General features: G+C 55.0%; 1 annotated feature.

The window, feature by feature from the left end:
- Positions 266-560: a silencer, noted in NCBI's record as "tiled region #12996; K562 Repressive DNase matched - State 8:EnhW". NCBI's record gives its function as "represses a minimal TATA promoter and a strong SV40 promoter by Sharpr-MPRA in K562 cells {active_cell/tissue: K562}" and the evidence as "EXISTENCE:reporter gene assay evidence [ECO:0000049][PMID:27701403]".

Genomic DNA, 773 nt, shown 5'->3' on the forward strand with positions numbered 1-773 from the left:
GAGACCACGAGAGGGCTATGATGGAAGGGAGAGGAGAGTTTCCAGGCTTGCTGGCTCCACTGTGCCTGGCTCTCCACCTTTGCTTTTCCCATCCAGTGAGTAGCATGGACCTCGACCCTCCAGGGCACTAGAGAGAAGAGGAGGGAGGGCCTATGTCCTCCACTGTGGAAGCACCAGGAGAGGCTGGAAGCAGATGAATAGCAGCCCAAGCCTCTCTGGACACAGAGTAAGAAATCTTTGCTGAGTGCAGCATGTGGAAAGGACCCTGTGTCCCTGTATTTCTTCTGGAGGTTTTCCAAGGAAGCAAAAGTTGCCAAGGAAGCAAAGTTCACAAGAAGCTTCCGACTGTAGGCAAAGTGGGAAAGATGAGGTGGAGACAGTGAAGTCATCTCAGGCAGGGCGGCACCCTCCTCTCCTGGCTGCTGGAACTGCTGACCTCACCTCCTTCCCGCACCCAGGAACCCAAGAGGGAGCCGATCACTGTGGGGGAAGGACTACTGGGACTGCGACAAGTTCCAGGAACCACGCTCTGGCAGGACAAAGCAGTCTTTACCTGCAGCATAGCACCTTCTCGGGGGTGCCGGCCCGGGTGATGTCCATTCACAGGGGGAAGGCTGGAGGGGAGGGAGTCCCTGTATTTGTGGCCTGGCTCTCAGCACCTGCTGTGTGGCTCCTGCACATCAAATTCCCACTCAGGGCTGTTCTCCCTCCTGGAAAGCAGGGAGCTGAGCTAGAGGCTTCTTTTTTATTTATTTATTTATTTTTGAGACAGA

Source organism: Homo sapiens, chromosome 5 (genome assembly GCF_000001405.40).
Source record: "Homo sapiens chromosome 5, GRCh38.p14 Primary Assembly".
Lineage (NCBI taxonomy): Eukaryota > Metazoa > Chordata > Mammalia > Primates > Hominidae > Homo > Homo sapiens.